We start from the raw sequence: 25,612 nt of genomic DNA, 5'->3' as shown, positions 1-25,612 counted from the left end.
CATTCCAGCCTGGGTGACAGAGCAACACTCTGTCTCAAAAAAAAAGATGCAAAATATACAAGAAAGAATAGTCAAAGGACACAAAGTACCTCAAAAAAGAAACACAAATGGTCATGAACACAGGAGACATCTGCCTCAATAGGAATAAAACAGAAATTCACAAGTTTGTTTTTGGAGCATCAAAACACTCTCAGGCAGGCAAGAGCATTGGGAAAGGCAGATTCCTGGCGCCCCCGCGACAGATCCCCAGCCCTGAAAACACGCACGCCCTCCATCACACACTGCCCCTGGCACTCACCTTAGAAGACATAAATGGACAAGTGGGGAAAGCTATGTGGAAAAGAGGGGCTACAACAGCAAACCTCATAAACTCCCAAGTGGCCAGGTCCAGGCCGCGTCTGTCCATACCACAGTGACTCCATGGCCACAACCAGCAGGTCCAAATGCCCGGCAGAGGAGGGGAGCGCCCGGCGGTCACAACCCACTCAGCCCCTGGGCCGGCTGCCTCCTAAGCACCTGTTTCCAACTGTGCACTTACGATGTGCTCCTTGGCCAAGCGTCCAAGGCTGCTGAGGGAGGCAGTGACAAGGCAAAGGCACCCACCATAAGCCCCCACGTGTTCACGCTGCAATTCTGCAAAAAGCATTGCTTATGTCCATAAGTTCTTACCAAGGGTTTCCGCCAGCCTGCTTCTCCAACAACAACCTCTTCTCATCTTCGGAAAACTGTAAGTCCAGTTCAAAGGAGTTCGAGTCCAGATCGTGAATGTACTGCTCTATGTTGCTGCCTGACCTCTGGGGCAGGCCCGTGTCGGAGGCTGACAGGGAGTGTGAGGAGGAGGACGAAGACACCTGCATGCAGCCAAACTGGCTCAGGAGATTGTCATACTGCAGAGAAGAAGGGAAAGTGAGAACCGCACCTTCACTTGCCTCTAAGGTCCTAAAACCCCAGCCCCTCCCGCACTGCCGCTGTCAGGCCTTGGGAGCTCGCACACAGCAAGGCGCAAGGCGACAGGGTGGGCAGCCCTGATTCTCCTCCATGGGACACCTGGCCACAGAACCGAGGCCTCACTGGATCCTGCCTGGTCGGGCTCCTCTTCCCATGGGAATCAGGGCCAGAGAGGGGCGAAGCCTCAGATTTCCTCTCCAGGAAGAGGGGACCTGGGCCCTTACCCTGCGGGCCCCGTGAATGCCAGTGCTGCCCCCCGGAGGTGGGGGCTGGGATGCCTGCTGGGAAGAGAAGGGGCCCAAGGAGGCCTGGTGGCAGATCCATCACACAGGCTGGCAGACAGGGCCTCCGTGCAAGACCTTGTTGGGCCCCAGGTGTCTTAGGAGTCTGAGTCTGTGGTAGATGCTAAATATTTTGATTTGACTAAACACATTCAATTGTTTAAAAGACATTCCTCTTAATCCCAGCAAAGATAAACTAAACTTACTGTAGATAACGCTGCCTGTTACTCTAGGAAAAAGACAAGCTAGTGTCGACAACGGAAACTCACTCATAAACGTGCCAAGCGGACACAGCCTGTGCACTAACACGCTCCTGGCACTGCCAAGGCCAGAGAGTCCCTGGGCAAGGGAAGCCACCTCCCCGGCTGCAGGCCCCACATCTGAGCTCTGTGGAGGCCAAGGACAAGGGGAAAGAAAAGGTGCCACGAGCAATGGCTAGGATAAGAGTGCGGCATGCCCTTCCACGTCCTCCGTGCCTCCAGACGCAGGCCCTGGCTGCTGCCCCACGCAACCATCCACACATGCAGCGTCCCCCATGTGTTCACACTCCTACAGCTGCACCACAGCCCCGCCTCACAGCCCTAAAGCCTCGCACCCAGCTGGGCTGGAGCAAGGTGCTCGCCAACGGGCATGGTGGAAACGCCCGACGCTGCCGGCCCCTCCACGCCGGCCCCTCCACGCCGACCCCTCCACGGGGTGTGGGCCTGCCCAGCCTGCTTGTCTCCAACACTGCCCAATGGTCACACTGCCCCGGCACTTACAGGACCTCAGGAGAGCAGGAGCCAACGAAGCACCTGCTCTCCTGCCTTGGCCCAAGGGCAGGTACCATGGCCAACCTCCCTGGCTGAAGGGGACGCCCAGTGCCCATTCCCCATGAAGGAGGGGGTGCGGCCCTGCAGGGAGGGAGGAGGTACAGCCCTGAAGTCTCCTTCCATGCTTGACACCGTTTGCCAAGACTCACTCACTGTCCCCGTGTGAGGTCTGGCCTGGGAGCTCCCTGCCTGGACCCACTCCAAGGCTTTCAAACCACACAGCTGTGCAGAGCTAAGGATGGGCCATCTAACAGGCGGCTGCCAACAAATGGAGCCTGGCTTCACAGACGGCAACAGAAGCCACGTATCAAGCAGCCCCAGCTCTCAGTAGGCCCAGGCACAGGGGCCTGCACAGGTATGCGGCAAGTGCAAGCACACACACCCCCACACTCAGAGAAGCTCCCCAGGCATTGAGACTGGAGACAACTGAAGCCTGTGCTGCTCCTTCAGAGCCCAGCTACCTCCCTGGGAGCAATGGAGCACAGAGCCCACGGGAGAACGGCCACCAGCCAGTCGCGAGCAAAACCTCTGCAGCAACAGCAGGCCCAGCAGGGAGAGCACTGCAGCCCCGTGGCACCTGCCAGCCGTAACCAAACACCACGCAGGAGCAGCTGAGTGGCACACAGGGTGGGGGCAAGGGCCTCGAGGCTCCCAGGCCTCTGCATACATGAAAGCTGCAGGTGGCCACATCAAGCGGCACAGACTCCGCTCCCCAAGCCTGGCTCCCTTAGAGTTTGGGCTCAAAGGATGTCGGGAGGATGAGGGGCGTTACACAGCAGGTAGGGGCGTTGGGAAACTTTGACACTAGCAGAAATTTAGCTGTGGATGACTTTTAGATAAAATCTAGAATTCCCAGCTGGGTGCAGTAACTCATGCCTAAAACCCCAGCAGTTTGGGAGGCCGAGGCGGGTAGATCACTTGAGGTCAGGAGTTCCACACCAGCCTGGCCAACACGGCGAAACCCTGTCTCTACTAAAAATACAAAAATTAGCCGGGCATGGTGGTGCACACCTGCAGTTCCCGCTAGTCGGGAGGGCGAGACAGGAGAATCGCTTGAACCCACAGCGGCAGAGGTTGCAGTGAGCCGAGATCGCGCCACTACACTCCAGCCTGAGTGACACACCAAGACCCTGTCTCAAAACAAACAAAATCTGGACTTCCTCAGTCATGGAAAGTGGAACTCCGTACACGGTGCCAGTTAGAATAAGCCATGGCGACAGAAGTCAAACCAGAAAAATGGATCTCATGATAACAGCACTTAAGTACGAGGGGGTCACGGGGGAGGTGGCAAGAGGAACTCAGAGGAAACAAGGCTGAAGTGGGCGACATGCCTGCCTCTCACAACACCCTCGGTCCCTTGGGCACATGGTCCACGCTCTCTACGAGAAGCTTAAAGAGCCAAGCGTGCTGAAGACCCCATGGCTGTGGTCAAGCTGGGAGACCAGCAGCCTCAGAGCCTACTCAGCACTGAAGAAGGTACCAGTGTCCCCACCAACGCCACGTCCCAAAAGTTCAAGCACACAACACTCGGGGGTTTCTGTGGAAAGACAGGCAGTGTTCTGGAGCATCTTGGCCGCACAGTTGTACAAGCACCAAGCCAAGCGCAGATGCGACAGGCCGGGCAGGAGGCCCCGTACGTGGGACCCCGGGGCCAGTGCCGGGGGTGCTCGGCGTCCGGTTCTAGCGGCACCCTGTGGGTGGAAACTCACTAGCCTGTCCACGGCCACGGAAATGAGGAGAAAATGACCCACCCAGCACCTCACCCGCCACTGCCTCACGGCAGCAAAGACTACAACCACCAGCAGGCCTGCCGCAGTGGCACAGACACCCTCCCCTTTCGGCTACAAATCACACGTGGGTCTGGCGCACGGGCATGAAGCCCAGTGCACGGAGGACCCAGTGCCACCTGCCTCGCCCGCCATCCCGGCCAGCTTACATTGCCATAGCAGTCCTCGTCGTCTTCCGACATAGCCGGCAGGTAAGCGGTGAGCTTCGGAGGCGTCTGCTGGTGCAGGTTCTCCCACGTGACGGACTCGAAGAACGGGTGTGCTTTAAGAGGTCCGTATCCTTCCATTTCCTCACAGCCTAACCGCTTTGTGGCATCTAAAACCTTAAGTAACAATCAAGACAAGTCACTGCCAGGGTGAAAACGTGATTCTGACCAAAGAAACCCAAACCTGGTAGCCGGGCACGGTGGCTCATGCCTGTCATCCCAGCACTTTGGGAGGCTGAGGCGGGCAGATCACCTGAGGTCAGGAGTTCGAAACCATCCCGGCCAACATGGTGACAACCCGTCTCTACTAAAAATATAAAAATCAGCTGCGCGTGGTGGTGCACGCCTATAATCCCAGCTACTCGGGAGGCTGAGGGAGGAGAATCGCTTGAACCCGGGAGGCAGAATTTGCGGTGAGCCACGATCGCACCATGGCACTCCAGCCTGTGCGACGAGAGCAAAACTCCATCTCCAAAAAAAAAAAAAAATATATATTTATCTCATCTCATCATAAGTCCCTTTCCATTTCCAAGTGCCTGATTCTTGACAGGAAATGACTGTAGCAGGAATAATAAAAGAAACTAAAATTTAGAAATCAACGGAAATTACTGTACCATTTAGCATTTGCTCAACACTGCACAGCATTTTAAGTTACTGGTGCTGGAGCGACTGGGGTTATGACAGCGCAGATGGCTGCAGACCCTAGTTCGTGACATCTGTACATTTCAGCTTTAGAGTCAGCTACATGAAAATTCGAACGACCAGCCCAGGTAAAACAGAGAAGAGAGGTTAGCCTGGGAAAGGTGTATCAGTTTATATTCTAGAAACAGAAGTCTCCTGACCTTCCTGTGCTTTTGGCCCTGGACGTCCCTCCTTACCACGACTCTGGGAGCGGGCTCAGTCCTGCCCCTGCAGGTGGCCCCGGGATCGCTAGGCTCCACAGCCACTGGCTTCTCCCAACCTGTCTCACCTCTTTCCCCTGGGCTGGGGTGTGGGCTTGATCAGTCCCTGGAGGAGACAGCTCTGCGGCCTTCGAGGGTCCCAGCGACACCCACTCCACAAGCGCAGGAGCGTGCTGGTCCCAGTGATGATTCGCTCCCTTTGTTAATTACTCAGTGTTTCTTGTTTTAGGATTTTTAACTATACACTGTAAAAGAATCCTTGCTGCTGTTCATTGTGTTTTGAGACTGAGATTCCTTTTCACCTGTGCGAGGAAAGGGGCCGAGCCTTGAGGGGCAGCACAGGATCCCAGGGCCTGCCTCCCCGTCCAGTTGCTCTGCGGTGGATGGAGGGGGCGGGGGGGCGGGGAACAGTACGGGGTGCTCTCCAGCAGATACTGAGAAGTGACAATAAGTACTCAAAACGTTTGGGTTTTGTTTGTTTGTTTGTTTGTTTGAGACTCTCGCTCTGTCGCCCAGGCTGGAGTGCAGTGGTACGATCTCGACTCACTGCAACCTCCGCCTCCCGGGTTCACACCATTCTCCTGCCTCAGCTTCCCAAGTAGCTGAGATCGCAGGCGCCCGCCACCATGCCCGGCTAATTTTTATATTTTTACTAGAGACGTGGTTTCACCATAGAGGCCAGGCTAGTCTCAAACTCCTGACCTCAGGTGATCCACCTGCCTCAGCCTCCCAAAGTGCTGGGGTGACAGGCGTGAGCCAATGTGTCTGGCGAGACTAGGTGTAATGATCCACACTCACTGTTAACCCTAAAAACACCATTTTTTGTGAACACGGGAGCCTCCAGGAAAGCCACTCAGAAAGCAGGTTCAGAGGACTCAGGGTGTCCCGGATCACCTTTCTAAAAGGAAATTCACGATATTTACCAAAAGTTTCTCCACGAGGTCTCTTGCCTTAGGGAAGAATTTTTCTGGAAAGTCATATTCCAACTTAATGATCTTCTGAAATATAAGATACTCGTTTCTGTAAAAATTTAAGAAAAAAAAAGTCATCCCAGGCAGGGTCCCAGAAGCCTCCACACGCAGGGATGAGCGCCCCGGACTCGCAGCACGGCAAACGCACCCCGGCCCCGCACGCCGAGAGCCCCCCACCTGGGCACGGCACCAAGTGCTGCCCTCCCCCACCCACCTCGAGGCTGGGAGGGACTGCCGGCCGGTGGGGTGCACCCCAACAGGCTCCAAGGCCCAGGCAACGCCGTCTCCTTACCCAGCTCGGAATGGTGGGAGTCCTGCCACAAGCTGGTATATTATGCATCCAAGAGCCCAAAGGTCTGAACTTTAAGGTAGGGGAAACAAACAAACAAACAAAGACATGTGTAAAATACAAGCGACAAGCCCAGTCCATTTCCCACTCTGTCTCCAAGGCCCCAGTTTCACCTCTAATGCGCTTCTATCCTTTCAGACCAGTTGGGTGTGAGGGTGGGGAACCCGCCCTCTGGAGAAGCCTCCCTGCGGCCTGGGCCCAGAGGGTGTGCACGCGGCAGGCACCGGCGGTCGTTCAGCTGTGCCCAAAGCTTCGCGGCTTCCAACAGGGCTTACCAACGTCCACACACGCCTGTCATCCTGAAGCAGAGCAGAGCTCACTCCTGGCACCACGTGGCTACAGACCAGGCAGGGGGCAGGATGGGAGGGAATGGGGCTGACCCTGTTCCAGTGAGACAACCCAGAAAGCTGAAGGAAGCGCCCTCCGGTCAGTGCTGGCGGAGGGCTCGCCGGGGCAGGAAAGTGCGGCACAGGCGAAATGAATGACCGCGACGTTCACACTTGACTTTCTTTAGTGTTTAGTTAAAATGGGGAGCAACAAAAGAAAACAGGCAGCAGAGCCTCCGCCTTTCAGTGTGGAAGCAGCAGAGAGAAGAGGGGTGCCGGGGGCAGAGCTGTGCCTGGACCCTCACGGGGTCCTCTCCAGAGCGTGGAATTCAAGCAGAAAGGGATTCTGGGGGTAGCTTTTCACCTCTGTGAATTATCGAATGTTTTATCATAAACACTTACTTTAGAATTTACGTATTTTTTAATACGATACAAAAATGGAAGGGGAAGCCAGTATTACACTTCTGGAAAACACATGTACCAAGGGCGTATCAAATAAACGTTCAGTTAGAACAAGTCATGCCACTTCCTGAAATCCACACCGAGGAATTCAGGGCGGCCTCTCACTCAGCCCAGCAGACCCCGTCTCGCCCACTAGAGGGAGAACAGGGCACCCCCACCCTGACCCCAGGCAAAGAGACCTCCTCCTGCCCATGCAGGTTGGGTGGCGCATCAGACACACGCCAGTGTGTGAATCCATGGAAACCCCTTCAACGCACAACAGTACAGAAACAGGCCCATGAACCACAATCTGTTCATGCGACAGAAAACCACACACTGATCAAGACACCCACAAGTCATTCCAATGACCTGGGGAAGCGCCCATTATATAATCATGCAGGGCTCAAAACTGCTTGTCCAACGTGACTCGAATGGCATAAAAGCCACGCAAACAGCTATAAAATGCACAGAAAGAATGACTGGAAAGACATATACCTGTACGCCCAATTATTATCTGTGACTATAAGTGGGTTTGGAGATTTATTTTCTAAGACCTCTTCATAATTAATTTCTCTTTTCTTTTTTTTCTTTTTTCTTTTTCTTTTTTGAGACAGGGTCTTACTCTGTCACCTAGGCTGGAATGCAGTGGCACAATCTCGGCTCACTGCAACCTCTGCGTCCGCCTCAGCCTCCCGAGTAACTGGGCCTACAGGCGCTCGCCACCAGGCCCAGCTAATTTTTGTTACTTTTAGTAGAGACAGGGTCTCGCCACGTTGGCCATGCTGGTCTCGAACTCCTGGCCTCAAGCAATCTGCCAGCCTCAACCTCCCAAAGTAATGGGATTACAGACGTGAGCCACCACGCCCGGCCTCTTTCAATTCTTTATAATAAAAGTTCTTAACTATGTTTAATATCACATGATTAAAAAATTCAAAAGCATAAAAAGAGATGCAGAAATGCCTTCCTCATAAACCTGTTCCCTCACCCCATAGACAACTACCATCATCCGTTCAGTGTCTATCCCTCCAGAGAACCTGAAACGCGCAAACGAGAAAACGTGAATACACATTCCTCCTTTTTCGAAGAGGGCAGGATCCTATGCGTATATTCGTAGAGCTTGGAGATCTTTCTGCACCAATGCTAAAGTGGCCCTCCGCCCTGAAAGTAAAATCTACAAACGAGGAAACGCTAGCTCTTAGGTGGCGACGACAAGCACTTTGAAAGCCGGGTACGTCGCGCCCCCCCCCCGCCCACCCCCCACCTGTGGGAGGGACTGTCCTCTGGGTCTCGGGATGCTGAGCAGCTCATCCTCGCCTCCCCCGCTGGATGCCAGCCGTACCCCTGCTCCAGCTGTGACAACTAAAACTGTCCAGACAGGGCCAAGTGTCCCCTGGGGAGCAGAATCACTCCAGTTGGGAAGCTCTGACCTAAAGCAGTGTCTGGCCATGCTAAGAACTCAGTATCTGGCCGGCCGCCATGTCTCACGCCTGTAATCCCAGCACTTTGGGAAGCCGAGATGGGAGGATCGCCTGAGCCTAGGAGTTCAAGATGAGACCGGGCAACACAGCAAGACCCCATCTCTGTTTTAAAAAAGAATTCAATAATAATGAAAAGACAACTCAGTATCTGCTGGTTGAAAAAAGTTAAAACAACAAAACCGAAAACGCCTGGAGACGGCCGAGACGCTGAGTGAGTGCTCAGAGCCTTTCCACCCTCCCATCACGTTTGTGCCACGGCCCCACCTCCCACAGTTTTTCCTGAAGCTGTCCAGCTCAGAAATCCAGAACTGCCGTCCCCAGAATCATTCATTCTCTCAGAGTGGCTCACTTCACTCCAGGAAGGTGGCCCCTTGTAACCTGGCGGAGCAGGAGAGTGGCAGCATGGGACTCCTGTGGTCCTGTCGACTCACGAGAGCACCAGCAGCCGAAGCTGACCCCAGCCCTCAGCAGCACTTGACTGGCCTGGGGCAGGAGGAACCCCAGCCCCACCCTCATTCCACAAAACTGCTCCCTAGACTTGAAACTCCAGACTCTGATGCTGCCTCTCAGCCTGCCACCTGCCTCCCAGCCACCCTAGACAGCACCTCAGACTTCTCACCAACCCTTGCCGTCAGCTCCCTGGACATCCTCCCCCACACCGCCGGTGGTCCCCTGGCTGGGCTTCTCCACTTTCCCCTTCCTTGACCCGCACCGGCCCTGCAGCCCCTGTACCATCTGCACTTTTTTCATTTTTTCACTATGGAGGCTGCCACCAAGACCCAGCTGTGTCTCTCAAAGACCCTCATGCCTGCTGGACGCCTCCTCCCTCCCACACCCGCACCCTCCAGGGCCTCCCTGCGCTCTGCGGGACGCTGTCCCACTGCAGCTGGTGTGTGGCCGAGCAACCCGAAGGCCGGGCTGCCTGCCCTCCACCCCGACGGGGGGCAGCACCAAGGAAGCCTGGGCTCTGTGCACACGGCAGCCACGCTTTCCTCACTCAATAGTTTTTCCCAAAGAAACGATCAGGCTGGGCATGGTGGCTCACGCCTGTAACTCCAGCACTTTGGAAGGCCGAGGCTGGCAGATCACGAGCTCAAGAGATCGAGACCATCCTAGCCAACATGGTGAAACCCCGTCTCTACCAAAAATACAACAATCAGCTGGACGTGGTGGCGTGCGCCTGTAGTCCCAGCTACTCGGGAGGCTGAGGCAGGAGAATTGCTTGAACCCGGGAGGCGGAGGTTGCAGCGAGCAGAGATGGTGCCACTGCACTCCAGTCTGGAGACAGAGCGAGACTCCGTCTCAAAAAACAAAAAAACAAAAACAAAAAAAACCCAAACGATTCAATCTGCAACCAGAAAGCATCAGCAAACCCAGGAAGCTTAGAACACAACACTAACGCATCACGTGTGTGTACGCCACGGAAAATACGCCTTAAAATGCGAAATGCTAATTTCTTCCCAAGTATGCTTAGCTACTTAAAGGCCACCAAATTCACTCTCTCAAATATTAATTTCTGTGTTAAAGAAAAGGGAAGCACGGCTTAGATGAAAGTGGTTACCTCTTACAGGCGGACTTCTCCGTGAGCAGCTCTGGAGAAACGTACTGCGCTGTTCCCACGAATGAGTTGGCCCTGGCTGCAGAGGAGAGAGAAGGTCACACTCGGACTCACGATCTGTGACAATCAAGGGCTGCGCGGTGGGTGTCGCACATGGCGGACCATGCACCCCCAGGAGCCAGACTTGTCCGGGGCGCACCGGGGCTGGCTCATGGCTCACCGGCTCAAAGACGCCTGCCTGATCCCTGGACACCGGCGCCCTGCACCCTGGCGCTCCCACCCGACACGCGCCTGGACAGTGAGCTGCACACAAACGGCCAGCACATTCTGCCGGTGGCGCCCGCTCAACGGAGGGCATGAGGACACGGCGCTGGCTGGCTCACTGCAGGACCTGGGGTATCCAAACGTGCCTAGGCACACAATAAACAGTTGCAGGCCAGAAAAACCTCCTTTCCATCACAAACAGCTTGGGAGCTGAGGCGCTACAAAGGGAACAAGACTCAGGCCTCCAGCCCAAGGGCCTTCCTCCACAGAGGAGCTGTGACGGAGCAGAGCCACAGCACGAGCTGGCCCAGGGCCACCACGCAGCTGCTGTCCACACCGGCCCTGCCCGTGGGCCGCTTCTGAGTGGTCCCTTCCACCTGCCCTCCTCCGGCCACGCTGAGAGAACCTCCCAGCCTCTGCTGCGGGGACTCAATCCCTTCAGTGAATGACTTTTCTGCGGACTTCATGACTGCCCAGGTGCGGTGGCTCACCCCTGCAGTCCCACTGCTTTGGGAGGCCAAGGCAGGAGGACTGCTCGAGGCCAGGAGTTTGAGACCAGTCTGAGCAACATAGTGAGACTCCGTGTCTAGAAAGAATTTCAAGAATTAGCCAGGCATGGTGGTGCACCTCTAGTCTCAGCTACTCGGGAGGCTGAGAAGGGAGGATCGCTTGAACCCGGGAAGCTGAGGGTACAGTCAGCCACAATGGCCCCACGGTACTCTAGCCTAGGCAATAGAGCCAGACCCTGTCTCAAATAATAAACAAAAAACAAACACTTCATGGCTGCATTTGCATCCTGCCAGGACCCTCAGTGATCCTGCCAAGAACACCAAGGACATCCGCAAACACGCACCCCGCCCCTGCCGGCCTAGAGGAAAGACAACCAAACCAAGGGCCAAAAACAAACGAAGCCATTCAACCCTGCAAAGAATCAAAGAAATGCAAATTAAAACACGACAGCCTATCACACTGGCAAAGGGAAAAAAGAATAAAAATACATAGCGCTGGCAGGGATCTGAGGGGACAGACGCAGCGCTAAGGGTGGGGCTGTCAAATGGCGTCGCTTCTGGGGGCAACTTTCCAATGAGCATCAGAAGTCACAAAGATGTTTGCCTCCCAGACCCTGCAGCTCCCTCTCCATGCTCTGTCCTTCAGGGTCCGGCGTGGCACAGCGACGAGGGCCGCGTCTGCTGGCGGGATGGGACGCCACTTGCTCCACCTACATATTCGGCGTTTCTGTTCTTTACTATCATCGAGTGTTGCTTTTGTGACTTGTACTTTTTCAAATGCCATTATTAAAAAGTCTAGGTTTTTGTCCTCTGGAGAGATGTATATAATGCATAATTAAATGACTGAGGTCGTCGTGCAGCACGCGGAGCCGTATGTGCTTTTAAACAGCCACAGCGTGCACGGAGCAAGTCCGTGAGGCCAACACCCACCCTATCTCTCGGATGAGCGCTACATAGTGACCTGCCGTGCTGTCGGGACCCTCGCTGCTGCTGCTGCTGTTCTAAGCTTCCTGCAAGCGAGCTACGGGCTCGGATCTCCTGGAATCCCTCCCTGCCCTCTCCAACCTCAGCTCCTCCTAGCTCCCCAAGGGTCTTCCCCCTCTCCCTTCTTTCCTCAGGGCTTGCCCACCCTCACCCTCGATTCCTCTGCCACACCTTCCTGAAGGTGGGACTCCGAGCCTCTGGGCATACGCAAAGTCACCCCCTTGGAAAAGGACACCTGTCCTTAGTTTAATCCAGAGACAGACAGCGCCGCTAGAGCGTGGAGAAGATGGCTACCCTCGGAATAATGTTCCAAATGCATAAAATACACAGGACTGTAGGAGAAAGCAATTATAATCCAATACACGTATCAAATTATTGAAGGAATGGATCTGTGATGTAGTACTATGTGACTTGCACGACACAGCAGCAGGTCACGCCGCAGGAACCCGGCAGCGGTGCTCGGCACAACTGGCATGGCGTCACTACCGTGACGTGACCCCTGCGGCAGGACATGGGAACACCTGTGACTTCTGATGACAGATGTTTGTTGCTGATGTTCATAATGGAAGGAAATGGTACGCTTTGCTGAAAGGTTAGTGAAAATTAGTAATTTCCTCCTATCCAGCCTCACAGATCCCCTGACTTCTATCTGTGACATCCGAGCTCAGAGTCCCAGACACAGCGTTAGGAAATCTCAGAGACCACCTAGTTACTTCTCCCTGGGAGCTCAGAGACTGGCCAAAGCTCACGCCCCTCCAGCTGCTGGAAACTCAGGCCCAGAGCCCCGCACTGGCTGCTGATGCCCCCGCATGCCACGGGACTACCGACGCTGGGGAAAGAGACAGTGGGATCTTGTCTGGGTTGTTGTCTCCACCCTCATCAAAGAAACTCCATGGACCACCCACAGTCCCCCAGATCTGCCAGTCATACTTGGAGGGGCAGTGGGAGGGACGACCTGAAGAAGTGATCCTGAGCTCACGAGACACCCACACTCTCTTCAAAGCCAAGGGTGCCGGCTGCCATGTTATCCATAAACCCACAAAGAAGCACAGAAAAACGCTCCGCAAAACGTGACTACCCTTTGGACGAAACACCAGCAAACCAAATGCAGCAACGTCTAGAAAGGACTAGGCATCATGACCAAGAGGATGTATGACACAGTGCAAGGTTGGTTCAAAATACAAAAAGCAATGCATTGCATCTCATTAGAATAAAGCACTAAGGAAAACACAGGATCATCTCAACAGATGCAGAAAATGCAGTTAACAAAAATTCCCCACCTCTACAGGACAAAAATATGGAATAGCCGAGGCACAGAAGGGAGGGCCCAGGGTCTGACAAAGGGCACGCACGGCCTACGGCCAACATCATGCTCGATGGTCAAAAACCGCACGCTCTCCCTAAGACCAGGGCGCCCGGCTCACCACATCCAGCCAACACCGAACTAGAGGTCTCAGCCAGGACAATTAGGGAAGAAGACAAAAGGCAGCCAGGTTGAAAGGGAACAAATAAAACTAGCTCGAATCACAGATGACAGGATCCTGTGTGCACAAAGTCCTGCGGACTCCACTGAGAAGCTATTACCACTAACGAGAGCTCAGCAGGGTGCGGGGCAGGGAAAAACCAACTGCATTTCCGCACAATTTCCAGGAGCAACCCAGAAATGAAATTCACAATCCCAGCACTCTGGGAGGCCGAGGCAGGCGGATCACCTGCGGTCAGGAGTTCAAGACCATGTTATCCATAAACGTGGTGAAACCCCGTTTCTACTAAAAACACACAAAATTAGCCGGGCGTGGTGGTGGGCGCCTGTAATCCCAGCTACTCGGGAGGCTGAGGCAGGAGAATCGCTTGAACCCGGGAGGCGGAGGTTGCAGTGAGCCGAGATCGCGCCACCGCACTCCAGCTTGGGCAACAAGAGCGAAATTCCGTCTCAAAAAAAAAAAAAATAAAAACAGAAAAAGGAAAAAAAAGGGAAGAAAATTCACAATTCTATTTTTTTTTTTTTTCTTCCCGAGACAAAGTCTCGCTCTGTTGCCCAGGCTGGAGTGCAGCGGTCTGAGGTCAGCTTACTGCAACCTCCTCCGCCTCCCGGGTTCAAGCGATCCTCCCACCTCAACTGGTCTCCGACTCCTGACCTTAGGTGATCCACCCACCCCGGCCTCCCAAAGTGCTGGGATTACATGTGTGAGCCACCGTGCCCGGCCAATAACTCTATTTAGAATAACATTAAAAACAAATAAGAATAAATGTCACAAAAGACGCATAAAGCTTATACTCTGAAAACTACAAAGTGTTTTTGAAAGAAAGATCTAAATAAACAGAAAGACAGCCCATGGTGATGGCTCAGAAGACTTAACGTGGGTTAACAATGGTAACGCCTCGTAAGCTCATCTCTAGACTCGATGCCATCCCTTCTCAGATCCCGGCAGGCTTTCACTGAGGGCAGTGTTTTCAAGGCCCATCTGCATGGCAGCGTGCATGGGCGCCTCATCCCTCGTTAGGGCTGGAGAACATTCCCCCGTCGTGTGGACACGCCACTCGTTCATCCACTCATTCGATGACACGTGCGTCGTTTCCACCTTTTGGCTACTGTGCATGATGCTACGGGCATTCTAGCACCTGTTTTTGTCTGAATGTGTGTTTTCATTTCTTGTGGGTTCATACCTAGGAGTGGGACTGCAGGGTCATATGGTAATTCTGTTTCCTTCTGAGGAGCTGCCAGCCTGTTTTCCAAAGTGGCTGTACTTTCTGGCATTCCCACCCACAGCATACGTGGGTTCCAGTCCCCTACGTCGTTGCTAACGTTTGTTATTATCTGTCTTCTCATCACAGCCCTCCTGGTGGGTGTGAGGTAGTATCACCCTGTGGTTTTGATTTGCATTTTCCTAATGACTAATAACGTTGAGGAACTTTGCATGTGCTTATGGGCCATTTGTGTATCTCTCCCTTGGAAAAATGTCTACTCATACCCTTTGTTCCGTGCTTTATTTTTTTTTTCTCCCTCTGAGTTCCTTACATTCTGGATACAAGTCCCATATCAGGTAGATGATTAGCAGATCGTGTCTCCTGTTTGGTGGGTCTCTTCACTTTCGTGATATCACTTGAAGCACAAAAGTGCTTAAACTTGATATAAATCTAACTCATCCTTTTCTTGGTCGCTTATGCTTTTTTTTGGCAGTGTATCTAAGAAAACACTGCCTAACCCAATTGTCACATTTAATCCTATAATTTCTTCTAAGAGTGTCATAGTCTTCGCCCTTACATTCAGACCTCTAACGCATTCGGAGTGAACTTTTTTTTTGAGATGGAGTCTCACTCCGCCGCCCAGGCTGGAGCGCAGTGGTGCGATCTCGCCTCACTGCAACCTCCGTCTCCCAGGTTCGAGTGAGTCTCCTGCCTCAGCCCCCACTCCAAATAGCTGGGATTACAGGCGCACACCACCATGCCTGGCTAATTTTTGTATTTTTACTAGAGATGGGCAGCTGGTCGCGAACTCCTGACCTCAAGTGGTCTGCCCGCTTCAGCTTCCCAAAGTGCTGAGATTACAGGCGTGAGCCACCGCGCCCGGCCTGGAGTCACCCTTTTTTTTTTTTTTTTTTTTTTTTTGGTGAGGCGGGGAGATGGGAGGCACAGGGATGGAGTTTTCCTCTGTTGCCCAGGCTGCAGCACAGTGTCGTGATCTTGGCTCACCGCAACCTCCGCCTACCAGGTTCCAGCGATTCTCCTGCCTCAGCCTCGCAAGTAGCTGGGATTACAGGAGTCACCTGGCTAAGTTTTTTTTTTTGGTTTTTTTTTTTTTTTTTTTTGAGATGGCGTTTCGCTCTTGTTGCCCAGGCTGGAGTGCAATAGTGTGGATCTCGGCTCACTGCAACCTCCGCCTCCCAGGTTCAAGTTATTCTCCTGCCTCCTGAGTAGCTGGGAGTACAGGCATGCACCACCACACCTAGCTAAAAACACACCTGTATTTTCAGTAGAGACAGGGTTTCGCCATGTTGGTCAGGCGGGTCTCGAACTCCTGATCTCAGGTGATCCGCCTGCCTCGGCCTTCCAAAGTGCTGGGATTACAGGCGTGAGCCACCACGCCCAGCCATAAATTTTGTATTTTTAGTAGAGACAGGGTTTCGTCACGTTGGCCGGGCTGGTCTCGAACTCCCGACCTCAGGTGATCCACTCGCCTCAGCCTCCCAAAGTGCTGCGATTACAGATGTGAGCCACCGCGCCTGGCCCTGGAGTGAGCTTTTGTGTATGGTGTGAGGAAGGGTAATAACTTTTTTAATGAATTAATCATCATTGGAAGAGAATGGAGAACCAATGTGTGGTTTTCAAAAATGGCATGAAAAGGGGAAAGAAGCATTTATCCTACTTTTCTTTTACAGATGATACCACGAGTCAACCCAAAAGTTGCTGGGGAGAAGTTGCTCTTTAATGAATTGCATCTCATGAATGTATCAGGCTGTGACCTTTCTGCACTCTCTAATGAGTTCATGAATTTAGGCCAATTATGGCCACAAATGCTGCTGCTGTCACAGAGAGATGCCGGATAAAGAACACCCACCACCAGTCTCTGAACAGGGAGGGGAGAATCAACTCTGAATGTGATGTAGTGGCCAGGAGAGAGGACCATGTTCAACAACGCCACACAGATGCAAATGACTTGTTTCTTCAACAAACTGCAAGGGAAAAAATAAAAATGGGGGAAGCTACAGATTAAAATACATGTGTTTGGATAGGAGAGTATTTAATGGCAAAAGAAAAAGAAAAAATTTAAAAATGAAATTGTGCAAAACTTATTTGAATCCTGTTCAAGTGAGCAACAAAACATTATGATGTACATGAGACAACTGGAAATATAACTCTGACTGGACACTTTGAGATATTAAGCAATTACCGTTCATTTTTACATATCAAACAGTATGGTATTGTGGTTACGCTTTTAAAAAGATTTGTATTTTAGCGACACATACTGGAATTTTTACAGGGAAAACCCACTGAGGATGCTGGGCATCAGGTCACTAGCACCGAGTGAATTTTTTACAATAAGCAGTAATTCTCCCCAGCCCCATGCATCATAGCCAATCCTAAATGAATGCCAATCTGGAAAAGACCAAAATAAACCACGTGAAGATGGGAAGAGCTGCTCTTGGTGATGGGAGAATGGGGACTCTCTCTTTTATTGTGCAAACTCCACTTTCCATCATGCAGGAAAATCCGTCTTGAAGGCAGCTCCTCTCTGTGCCGGGGGTGGGTGATCCAGCCTAAGCTAGAATGGCGGCAAGCTCAAGGCAGCTGTGGCCCTCAGGAGAGCGTCTGGAGTCCACAGCACAGTGGGAAGCGCAACGGCAGCTAGTCTGAGGGTCTGGACGATGGCCATGCACAGATGAGGACAGAGGAGCCACTGTAGTGACTGAAGCCCACGGCATCCACCCTCTCCAGCCAGCCCCGCCCACACCTGAAGCCCACAGCGTCCACCCTGTCCACCCAGCCCTGCCCACACCTGTGGCCTTCCTCTCCTTCCTGTTTGGTGAGTGCTGCCTCCACACCTGGCTGCATGCCAGAAAGGCCTGCACAGGTCAGAACACAGGTTTCCAAACCCTACTCCAAGTCTGAACCTCCAAGGACACCCCGAGCTCCCCAAGGTTCTTGCATAGAGGGCACAGGCCAGAGACAGCCCAGGTGGGAAGCTTACTCTGAGTCAGCTGCCCTCACCAAGATACATCCACAGGCTCCTGTACAAGGAGAGGAGGCAGAAGTCCCTCTCTGCCAGGAGGTCCTCCTCAATCTCCCAAGCCCACACCACTGCCCTGCTCCATCTCCCACCACCTCCCCCTGCAGATACGGGGGCCACCCTACCCACCCCACAGGAACGATGGGAAAACCTGCCTCCCTCTAGGAGGAGGGCGTGGCACAGCTGCTGCGCGGGTAAGGAACCTCGCTATGCCTTGCTCCCATCAACACTTTTATTCTAGATTTGAAGGTGTTTTGGGGAAGCCATCTCTGCACAAAAGAAGTCAACGCAGGAATAAATTCCAAGATACTGAACTACCTCAAACAGAAAATAAGTTACTAAAATTAATCCGCCACATAAATTATAGTTTTTTCCTTTTCCTCAAACAAGGGGAAAAGAACCACCAACTCATCTATACGCACAAGCAACTGGCCCTGGTTTACAATGATGTAAAGACTTTTAGCCTCCTGCTACCAAAAAGCAAAGGTTTATTTCATGATTTCTTCTTTCTTTTCCAGAGGCAGGCTCTTGCTCTGTCGCCCAGGCTGGAGCGCAGTGGCAGGATCACGGCTCACTGCAGCCTCAATCTCCCAGGCTCAGGTGATCCTCCCACCTCAGCCTCCTGAGTAGCTGGGACTACAGGCACGCACTAGCACGCCCAGCTAATTTTTGTTTTTTATCTTATATAGAGACAGGGTTTTGCCGTGTTCCCCAGGCTGGTCTCAAACTCCTGGGCGCAAATGATCGACCTGCCTCGGCCTCCCCAAGTGTTGGGATTACAGGTGGGCCACTGTGCCCAAGCTATTTCACTATTTCATCAGCGCACTTAAATGCCCGTTTTTTTTAAGTGGCTACAGGGCAACAAGACTATCCCTGTGCCAAATACCAGATTCCAAAGAAACTCTACCCACGTCACAAACCTGCACGTGGATCCCCTGAATCTAAAATAAAAGTTGAAATTATGAATAAATAAAGCCTTGCAATAAGGGAGGGGAAAAAAAAAGAAAGAAAATCCACACGAAGGGAAAAATGCCCAGAGCACAGCCCAGGGAGGTGGTTCCTGAGGCTGGCTGTGGGCACAGCCCAGAGAGCGGTTCCCGGGACTGACTGGGGGCAGAGCCAGCCCGCAGCGCTCCTGACCCCACGGAATGTTGTGGGCTCATCTCTGGGCAGGAAGTCAGCACAAGGACAGCAAGACACTGACAGATCCTAAGAAAGCTTACGAGACAGAAGTTCCTGTTTGGTTCAACTTTGTCACAGACAACACTGAGGGAGATGAGGTTACACTGTGTACACAGAAACAGGATTACCAGTCAGTAAGACGGTTACTATTTAACAGGAATGAGTCAAACAGATCAAGGTTTCAGGGCATGTCTGAAACGCCAGGAAGACCGCCCTGGCTCTGTGCAGCTTTGGGCGGGAGGTGCGCACTCTGGCATGCCACTGGACGGGGAGGGGAACGGGGCTACAAAAGGCAGCGGACGGCAGCAGGACTAAGCCACCTTAGACAACAAGAGGCTCCGGCTTGATTGCTAGTTTCGATCTTAGCCCCAAAAGGGTGATGTTTTTTATTTCTTTATTTATGAGACGGAGTCTCACTCTGTTGCCCAGGCTGGAGTGCAGTGGCACGATCGTGGCTCACTGCAACCTCTGCCTCCCGGGTTCAAGCGATTCTCCTGCCTCAGCCTCCCGAGTAGCTAAGACTACAGGCGCGCACCACCACGCCCAGCTAATTTTTTATATTTTTAGTAGAGACGGGGTTTCACCATGTTAGCCAGGATGGTCTCGATCTCCTGACCTCGTGATTTGCCCACCTCGACCTCCCAAAGTGCTGGGATTACAGGCTTCTTTTATTTTTTATTTATTACTACTATTTTTTAACAGTTGATCGCTCTGTTCCCCAGGCTGGAGTGCAGTGGGATCATCCTAGTTCACTGCATCATCCATCTCTCATTTCAGCCTCTCGAGTAGCTGGGACTACAGGTGTGTGCCATCACACCAGGATGATTTTTGGCTTTTTTGTAGATATGGAGTCTCACCATGTTGCCCAGTGGCTGGTCTCAAATTCCTGGCCTCAAACGATCCTCCTGCCTCAGCCTCCCAAAGCCCTAGGATTACAGGTGTGAGCTCCCATGCACAGCCAGGGTGATGTTTGAGGATTCTGAGAGAAGTTCCCAGATCCAAGACAAGGTCTTAGGGCCTCCATGACTGTGCAGAGATGAAAGCACCAACTGACAGAATCTCAGCCAGAGCCCTGAGTGTGAAAACACAGGGCTGGAAACGCCCAGAAGGGAAAGATAAGGCCCGGTGGAGGAAACGAGCAACTACCTCAAGGTGCCAAGAGAGGCCCCACAGGCACCAGCTGGGTACCTCCCAGCACACAGAATACAGGGCCAATTCCTAAGAAACAGAAAAGCCGAGCTGAGTCCAGAGTGCCTGCCTTGCTGAAGGGCCTGCTCTCCACCCAGCTGTGCTCTCCTCCAGCTACTGGGGGCCGGCTGGCCGTCCATGGAGACGAGGCCAGAACCACCACTGCTCTGTGCTCACGGTTCCCCTTTTCCACACGAGAGCAGCTACAACAACACGGTCACTTCTGTCTGAATCTTTCCTCCACCAACAAACCTGCACTCGCGTCCCTCCAAACCGGGCTCCAGCACCTCTCACCCCCACAGAGCCCTCTATGGAGGCCTTTCTCTGACGGGCACCCCAAGCCCAGGCAGAGGCCCATGCACCACTTGGAGGCCCTTGGACCCAGCCTCTTGACCCAGACAGACTCCAGCAATCACCCGAGGTTCACCTTCAAGGTCACTTATAATGCACACAGCAGCCTTCAGCTTCCCCAAACCTCATCCCAAGGCTTTATCTTCTCTCTACCCAGCACTCGGGAGCACTCTTCAGAATTTCAGCTGCCTTTCTTTACACCTCCAGAGTTTGTGATTTCTACCCAATAAGCACCTGAAGGGCATCGAGATACCCCCGGCCGGCTAAGACAACCTAGGCCACTTCTCTGGCCCGAGTGGACTTTCAGCAACATCTCCGATGGAGTTGTCACAACATGGTCCGAGGCTAGAAACTACCCTTGGGAACAGGACTCGGAGGCTTTGTGATGACAAACGTGCACGTGGCCAGCAGGGAGACAGACGGACAGCTAACGGAGGGAGCGCACCGAGGTACAGGGATGTGCGCGCCCGGATACTACCTGCAACACAGGCAGGAGGAGCCAGGAGCTGACCACACCGGCTCCACATCCTGCACGCGGGTGGCTGGGTACGAATGTGGCCCCCCACACTGTCCAGAAGACGAGTAGGGAGGATGAACCAGAGCAGGCGCCGAGGAGAACCAGCGACCTCCCACTCTACACCAACACACACTGCCTGGGGCCCCCCCAGGAAGACCTGCTGGCGTGGCAGGGTCTTGCCCAGAGAAAGTTCAAGATCTGTTTGAGAACGGCCAAGGTATCCCCACCTCAGTCGTTGATGAAGATGACACAATGCAAACACTCCTCAGAAGTCGCTTTCCATCTGAAGCACAGAGCCAGGCTCTGCTAGAAATAAAACTCACACACCTTGTTTGCTCTCTGGGGATAAGACTTTTGCTGTTCCAAAATCTGTGATCTGGATGTGCATATCTTCATTTAACAAAATGTTTTCCGGTTTAAGGTCCCTGTAAAAGCAGATTTTCACATTTGAGAAGAAATACTTAAAACAGCAACATTATTACGTACTCTAAATTTTGCTGAAAACAAAATGAACGAATGAATGTATATGATCCTTACAGGCTGACAACCAGGGCTACAGGCCTAAAGCTCACAAGCAACAAGTGTTGGCTGGACACAGTAGGGATTCACCACCTCACATCTCCATGTCATTCTAAGTCGTTTTTTAACGAAGTAAAATCTATCATTTTTAACGCACAAAATGAAAGCTATGCACACTTCTGAGCTGACTTTATCAGAAAGTCATGAAAAACGAGACCAGAAAGAAGTACACACAGAAGCTACAACTGAAAAAGATAAAAAGCATCAGTCAAGATGGTGAAAAGAATCATTAGCTCGCCAGGAAAGACACGCAACCATTGCATGTGGTATTGGCAGGAGAGCCTCTCCACGTCAGCGCTCCGTGGACGTGTGGCCTCGCCTTGGCACTCAGGCTGTGGCACAGGCAGGCATCTCAGTCCCACCCATCCAGGGAGCACTCCAACCTGGCTGACCTCAAGGGCGGGGGCCATCTGGGCATCAGCCGTGGCCTGTGAGCCAAACGGTCACTGGCCCTGATCATCAAACTGACGTCCTGCAAACCCACCCAGCCACCCCCGCGGTTACCTGTGAATGATGCCCTTGCCGTGCAAGTACTCTAAAGCAGACACAATCTCAGCCGTGTAAAATCGGGTACAGGTCTCATCGAATGAACCGATTTTGCGAATATATTTAAGTAGTTCTCCATTTTTGGCATAACTAAGGCCGAAATCTGAATATCGTGCAGTTAAGGAAGTGTAAAAATCTCTTGTTTCGTTTTGGAGCAGGTTTACTCCGTTGCCCAGACTGGAGTGCAGGGGCACAATCATAGCTCACTGCAGCCTCAACCTCCCTGGCTCAAGCGATCCTCCCACCTTAACCAACCCAAGTGGCTGGGAACGTAGGTACGCGCTACCACGCCTGGCTCATGTGTTTTATTTTGTAAAAGTCATTTTTGGAAAACTAACCTTAAAAGTCTGATAAGAATTTTTAATTCAGTGCAAACTGAAAGTACCTGTGGCCCAAGACAGTCATGTCACTGGATCTGCCGGGCATCCCAGGCCCCAGCTCCAAGACGAGGCACCAGCATGATGAGGGCTTTCTCATTAAGAACGCCATTACACGGTCTCGAGGAAACAGGAACAGAGCCTCTCAGCCCCGACTGCCCCTCTGGCCCCTGGCCGTGTCCACGGCCTCAGTGAAAGGGAACCGCTGGTGACAGGGCCTACAGACCCCGACCAAAAAGCGCATATAACTCACGTGCAGGCTTCGATGCACAAAGACCCCGGGGGCCGGCGGAGCAGGGTCGGAGAGCGCGACAGCCCCTGCCCTGAGACCCCGGCTTTATGTGCTACGCATCCACGCGTGGCACTGCCCCTTCCATGCAGTCTCCTTCCGTGGATAAAGTGACACATTTTGTTTTGTTTTTTTTTTTTAAGATGCAGTCTCGCTCTGTCGCCAGGCTGGAGTGCAGTGGCGCTACCTCGGCTCGCTGCAACCTCCGCCTCCCGGAGTCAAGCAATTCTCCTGCCTCAGCCTCCCGAGTAGCTGGGACTACAAGCACGCGCCACCATGCCCCCCTAGTTTTGGTATTTTTAGTAGAGACGGGGTTTCCCCAGGTTGGCCAGGATAGTCTCCATCTCTTATCCTCGTGATCTGCCCGCCTTGGCCTCCCAAAGTGCCGGGATTACAGGCGTGAGCCACCGCACCTGGCCGAGTGACACACTTTGTAAGACAAAAGCCATCTCATGAACTTCTACACCCATGAAGTGTGTCTGGGAGGCCCCCTCCTCTGGGCACCACTGCCCTACGATGGCTCCATCTGTAGCCTCCTTTTCCAAGAGGACTTAAGACCGACAATAAATGGATCCCAGATACAGATTCCCCTGCAAGCGGCAAACGTCCATCCCCATTACCGGAAACCTCCAGATACTTCACACTTACTGGCAGCCCAGGACACGGGGACCCAAATCCTTGCCTGCCCTGAGCAGTGGCTCTCGAGGCCAGGAAGGGGGGCTCGTGCTCAGAGCCAGGCTGGCCTGCCTGCTCACTTCTGTTTGCCAGGGCACCATCATCTCCCACCAAGGATGAACCTGAAGCTTCAGGGCAACGAAGAGAAACCCAGAAGCGAAGGGACTTGCAACCAAGGCTGCCCAAAGTGGCCCCTGTCCAGGCCCATCTCTAAATACAACCCACACCGAGGATGCCTGGTGGGGCAGAAGTCCCTGGGTCTCGTTCCCGTCAGGGGCGAGTGAACCTTCACAACCTCCCGGGGCTTTGGAATTTGACTTAATGATGAAGGGCAACATGGACCACTGGACAAAGACCTGGAGTTCCCACTACCTGCACCGCTCTGGCCAATCCCATTTGGAAATCAGTCAGCAAGATTCACTCTCCTCTGGACTCTGAGCCCCCGGGAGGAGAGGATGGGAGAGGTCAAGCGTGTGCAATTCTGTTGCAGCCTCACAACCAACAAGCAGCCGTGTTCCGACGGCTCTGCGGGAAGCCCAGAGGGACTCCCGTGGCTCATACGGGGGCAGAGACGTGCAGGGCCCCGGGGAACGTGAAGGTGAGAGACAGAACATACCGTGAAGAAGCCACTGAGAGTGGGAGACAGAGGCAGGAACAGGGATGACACTGGAGGACAGCAGGCCTGCCTGGAGGCCAGCATTCTCTACAACCTTCCACAAACCAACAGCAAAGCCCGCTCCGGGCCACGTGCCTGGCAGCTGCTCGGCCACTGCCCCGCTCCTCCCTAGGCAAAATCCCAGGGAAGCACCTTGCGTCGTTTCCATTTCCTCACCTCTTACTCTTCCTTGAACAGTCCCCCCAAGAAACTGCCTACCCACCATCAACAACTGGCACAGGGCAGATCCACGGGTCAGGCTGTGTGCACCTGACCGCTTCATAACCCCTGCGTGGGCAGCCAGCACCCTCCATCAGAAATCGTTTGATCCCGTGGCCTCTGGGTCTCCATCATTCGAGCTCGGGAGCAACATCCCATCACCATCTCCTCTCCTCGGTGGGCCCCTCCTCGTGTTCACCCCTGCACTGGGGGGAACCCAGGCTCCACTCACAGAGGAGCCAACCTCTGGGCAGCCTGCCAGCTCGCTGTGAAAGTCCTCACGGCCCTGACTCCTCCTGGAGCTCTGCTGGCAGCACCTAAGTGCCCACTCAGACCTGAATGGTGGCACCAGCGGATGCATGAAATGCCAGCCCAGCACCCGCCCCGGTCTCTCCCAGCTCAGCAGCAGACACCGCTGTGCACTAGGCTTGAGGGCCACCTCCCAGGAGCCGCCCCTGACTCCATTCTCTTGACCGGTCTGTTCATCAGACCTCGACCACGGCCCCTGCCCCTGCTCTCCTGCCCGTTCTCCCGCCTGGCCTAGGAGAAGCCACAGCAAACCCCACGTTCCCCGCCACAAAGAGAAGGAAGTCCAGAGTCAGTGCCAGGCTGCCACGGCTCAGGGGCCCAGCCCACCACAGCCTTTCATGCCCCCCCACACACTCCTGCCCAGGAGCTGAAAGAGCCCCACACTGCCGCCAGCCCCTACCCAGCCCTAAGACTCTTGGCAGCGCATCTTGCTGCCGGGAAGCCTCTGACACGGATCGTCAGTGCACGTCCAGCTCCTCCACCAAAATCGAAGCTTCTCGTGGGCAGAGACGCCACCCGGCATAGCAGCGCATCCCCATCACCCATCAACCTGCACTTGGCAAGCACCTCCAAACAGAGAGAGCACACACACTCCGCCGGCAGCCGAAGGAGCTGCAGGATGGTGCTGAGAGTGGGAGCAGGCCAGAACGAAGCTCTAACACAGAAGAGCCGGGTGCTGGGGAGAGACGGGGAGGACAGGTGGGAGGACTCAGGCCCCTCCCCAGGCAGGATGGGGAGGCCACGACACTTGGGCCAGCTTGGAGGGTGGCGGGGGAGGAGAAGAGCAGATGCAGACTGCACCTGCTGGGGGTGACGACGGTGTGGCGTGGCCAGCCCAGCCACTGGCAGGCCCACAGGTCAGCTGGATGGGGCAGAGGTGGGGCCCACCCCAACTTCCACCGGGCCTTGCCTCCCAGATTCCTGAGCCAAGGTTTAATAACAGAAAAGATGGCGCTCTAGGGGAGCAAGGGACGCCGACCAAGCAAGCCGCAGCAGAGAGGACTGTGCTGGAGCCACATCGGTGGCTTCTCCGGGAGGTAACGTCCTGTGCAGACTCCCAGCCACACCCTGGCGCTGCCTCGGCTGCCTCCCTGAATGTCAGCGGCCTGAGGGACCCCACTCGGCAGGGAGCGGGGGCTGCTTGTGGGAACACACAGGGTCTGATTCCAAGTGAGAGGGGT

General features: G+C 53.8%; 1 protein-coding gene across 11 annotated transcripts in view, besides 1 other annotated feature; it reads right to left on the bottom strand.

The window, feature by feature from the left end:
• PDPK1 (3-phosphoinositide dependent protein kinase 1) overlaps positions 1-25,612 on the bottom strand; it is a 65,168-nt gene that overhangs the window by 15,626 nt on the left and 23,930 nt on the right. For 8 of the 11 annotated variants that reach the window (XM_047434200.1, XM_024450296.2, NM_002613.5 and 5 more), the window contains 7 exons: positions 21,866-22,010; positions 21,110-21,207; positions 10,063-10,138; positions 6,200-6,268; positions 5,860-5,956; positions 3,978-4,151; positions 670-887 (listed from right to left, as the gene is read on the bottom strand). In XM_047434200.1, the coding sequence (XP_047290156.1) occupies positions 670-887; positions 3,978-4,151; positions 5,860-5,956; positions 6,200-6,268; positions 10,063-10,138; positions 21,110-21,207; positions 21,866-22,010 (877 nt within the window). Of the gene's footprint in view, positions 1-669; positions 888-3,977; positions 4,152-5,859; positions 5,957-6,199; positions 6,269-10,062; positions 10,139-21,109; positions 21,208-21,865; positions 22,011-25,612 lie in introns of those variants that run through there. The other 3 variants (NM_031268.6, XM_011522523.4, XM_047434202.1) reach the window with 2 other exon arrangements.
• Positions 1,818-2,319: an enhancer, noted in NCBI's record as "H3K4me1 hESC enhancer chr16:2635245-2635746 (GRCh37/hg19 assembly coordinates)". NCBI's record gives its function as "activates a minimal SCP1, AML or CMV promoter by ChIP-STARR-seq in naive H9 embryonic stem cells {active_cell/tissue: H9 hESC(naive)}" and the evidence as "EXISTENCE:reporter gene assay evidence [ECO:0000049][PMID:30033119]".

The sequence above is a fragment of the Homo sapiens genome, chromosome 16 (genome assembly GCF_000001405.40).
Source record: "Homo sapiens chromosome 16, GRCh38.p14 Primary Assembly".
Lineage (NCBI taxonomy): Eukaryota > Metazoa > Chordata > Mammalia > Primates > Hominidae > Homo > Homo sapiens.
The sequence above is the reverse complement of the archived record's forward strand: the minus strand, read 5'-3'. Positions and strand labels throughout refer to the sequence as shown.